Source organism: Homo sapiens, chromosome 9, assembly GCF_000001405.40.
Source record: "Homo sapiens chromosome 9, GRCh38.p14 Primary Assembly".
Classification (NCBI taxonomy): Eukaryota; Metazoa; Chordata; class Mammalia; order Primates; family Hominidae; genus Homo; species Homo sapiens.
The window spans coordinates 73,750,698-73,753,078 of record NC_000009.12 but is presented as its reverse complement, the minus strand read 5'-3'; the positions used below and the strand labels follow the sequence as shown (position 1 = coordinate 73,753,078).

Here is a 2,381-nt window from a genome sequence, read left to right as displayed (position 1 = left end):
GTTTGAATTCCATACTTCTCCATTCTTTATTGCAATAATGAAGAAAACAGTATTTACATTTTAGGGTTGCCTTAAACACCAAATAAGTAACATATATAAAATGTTAGATTCACAGTATTTAGAATATGTTGGATCATATCTTTTCTACTTCCTATCAAATTCTAGGGAAATTTATAAAGAATCCCCTAATCCCGGATAAGGGTGGAATGGAATCTTCCATGAATACTATTGCATAACACAGGTTGGAAAAGGCCTTTAGAGACCATCAGTGATTGGGCCCACCTCCCAGTGTACAAGAGTGAAAGCATGGCTTGAGTGAGAGTTCAGGCTTCCTAAGTGTTATGACATTTAAAATTTTTTCTTGCAACTAGTATATTTTTATCTTTTATAAATATTTAGGTGCAAGAAAGGCATTACCATATCTGAGTCTCCAACCTTTACTACATAAAGTCCAAAATATCACATTAGAGAGATTGATCTGGATACAGCTTCGTACAAAGATGTTTTCATGGCCATAGCTAAAGATATGTCTAACTATTGTCTGGTTACTTTTAGTGCTATTGAGTTATTTTAGTTCTAACAAAAACTTGCGTGGAAATAATAGGACTGAAGTTTCTGAAAGTTGTATGGTTTTAGAGTTGTAAAAACATAAAAGTTATAAATATATATTCCTATGGTCAAGAATTAACTATTATCATATTCATATAGTTGTTTCTAGTCTTTTAAAATAGATAGATAGATAATAGATTGATAGATACATAGATGTAGATATATCTGAAGTCCCCTTTTATTATCATGCTAAACCCATATCTCCTTCTCCCTTTTCAAATAATCCTTACCATGAGTGTAATTTAATCTTTTCTGGGAAAGGAGGGTAACAAGATCGTCAACTAGACACAGCCAGGAGGTGCTGCTCCAACTGAGAGAGACCAAGGTTTTGAGTAAGCCAGTATATTAATAACTTGGACAGATCTTCAGAGAGAAAACACTGAAAATGGATGGAGATGCAGACACTGAGTTTAAGGAGAGAGGAATCTGGGAACCCTGCATGGGGTACCCAAACACTGAATCTAGTTCCTAGCCTTGAAATGCCCCTGAGGAATGATTGAGTGAAGGGACTGTGGTACTGCCTATCCTCTCCACAGACCTCTGGGATTATGGCTACAGGAGGCCCCATGTGGTCCATCGATGTTTGAGCTGACAGAGAGATTTTCCCAGAGAGTAAGCAGAGACATGGTTTCAGCCAGTGTGGAACCATTGGCCTCTGTGAATGGTGCAGCTCTGGTGGAGTGTGGCCATAGGCTCCCATTCCCCAAGGCTCTCCATCTTCCTCCAAGAAGCTCTAGCCCAGCTGACTGCTAGGCCAGGAGAGAGCAGAGCCAACTTCCTCATGGGACTGGGACACATCTGTTCTCTAGGCCCTCTTGGCCTCTTGCCCTCCAGCCCTCTTCAGAGTCACTATCTGGCCACCCTGCAGGAGTATGAGCATAGCACAGCCTCTGCTGCCCAGCCTTGGTGATTTGCTCTACCTGATTACTTTCCCAGTGGTCTGGGAGCACTTTGAATTCCCCAGCATACCGTGAACTCATCTGCAACAGTCCAGAGGATGGATCTGTGAGCCAATCCCAGCGTCCCAGGTCTGTGGCACATAGTTTGGGAATGTTGAGCCAATATCTATGACTGGCACTCAAGCAGGAGAGGAGTCCATACTCTCAGAGGACTGAGAGGAGTGAGACGTGCAGGTTCGTGGGCTGGAATGGGAGCAGGGCATGTCTCCCTCTGTAGGGCCTGCCTATTTCCTTCCTGTGGTCTCTGCCAAGGGATCCCTGCAGACTGGACACCTAACAGAAGAAATGTGGGTGCAGTGCCAGTGATTGGAGGGTGCTCCCCAAGACCCAGGAGCTGACCTGGTGAGGGTATCAGCTCTCTACCCCCTGCACCACAGAACATGGCTGCAAACATGAGGAGATACAAAGGAGCCACATGGCTGAATAAAACCCTACCTGCCACCCATTTTTTTTTTCCTCTGATCTCCGAAGTTAAGTAGGGTTGGGCCTGGTTAGTACTTGGATGGGAGACCACCTGGGAATACTAGGTGCTGTAGGTTTGTCTACGGCCATACCACGCTGAACGCACTGGATCTCATCTCACCCGTTACTATTAAGTGCCATCTACTGGATCATAGTCCAAACTATAATACCAAAAATATTTTGCTAATATACCTCTCTATGAAACCAAGGACAATAATTCAGCCTCAAATGATCCTGTACAAAGCCCTGGACTTCTGAAAACATCAAGAAATGAAGCCTACTGACTGTAATCAATGTATGCCTCAGTTTAAGGGACACCAATCCTCCTAGAAGAGAAAGAATTAGTGCAAG

General features: G+C 43.3%; 1 pseudogene, besides 2 other annotated features; it reads left to right on the top strand.

Moving 5' to 3' along the window:
* Positions 1,065–1,564: an enhancer, noted in NCBI's record as "H3K27ac hESC enhancer chr9:76366431-76366930 (GRCh37/hg19 assembly coordinates)". NCBI's record gives its function as "activates a minimal SCP1, AML or CMV promoter by ChIP-STARR-seq in primed H9 embryonic stem cells {active_cell/tissue: H9 hESC(primed)}" and the evidence as "EXISTENCE:reporter gene assay evidence [ECO:0000049][PMID:30033119]".
* Positions 1,565–2,066: an enhancer, noted in NCBI's record as "H3K27ac hESC enhancer chr9:76365929-76366430 (GRCh37/hg19 assembly coordinates)". NCBI's record gives its function as "activates a minimal SCP1, AML or CMV promoter by ChIP-STARR-seq in primed H9 embryonic stem cells {active_cell/tissue: H9 hESC(primed)}" and the evidence as "EXISTENCE:reporter gene assay evidence [ECO:0000049][PMID:30033119]".
* RNA5SP286 (RNA, 5S ribosomal pseudogene 286) lies at positions 2,002–2,107 on the top strand (annotated as a pseudogene).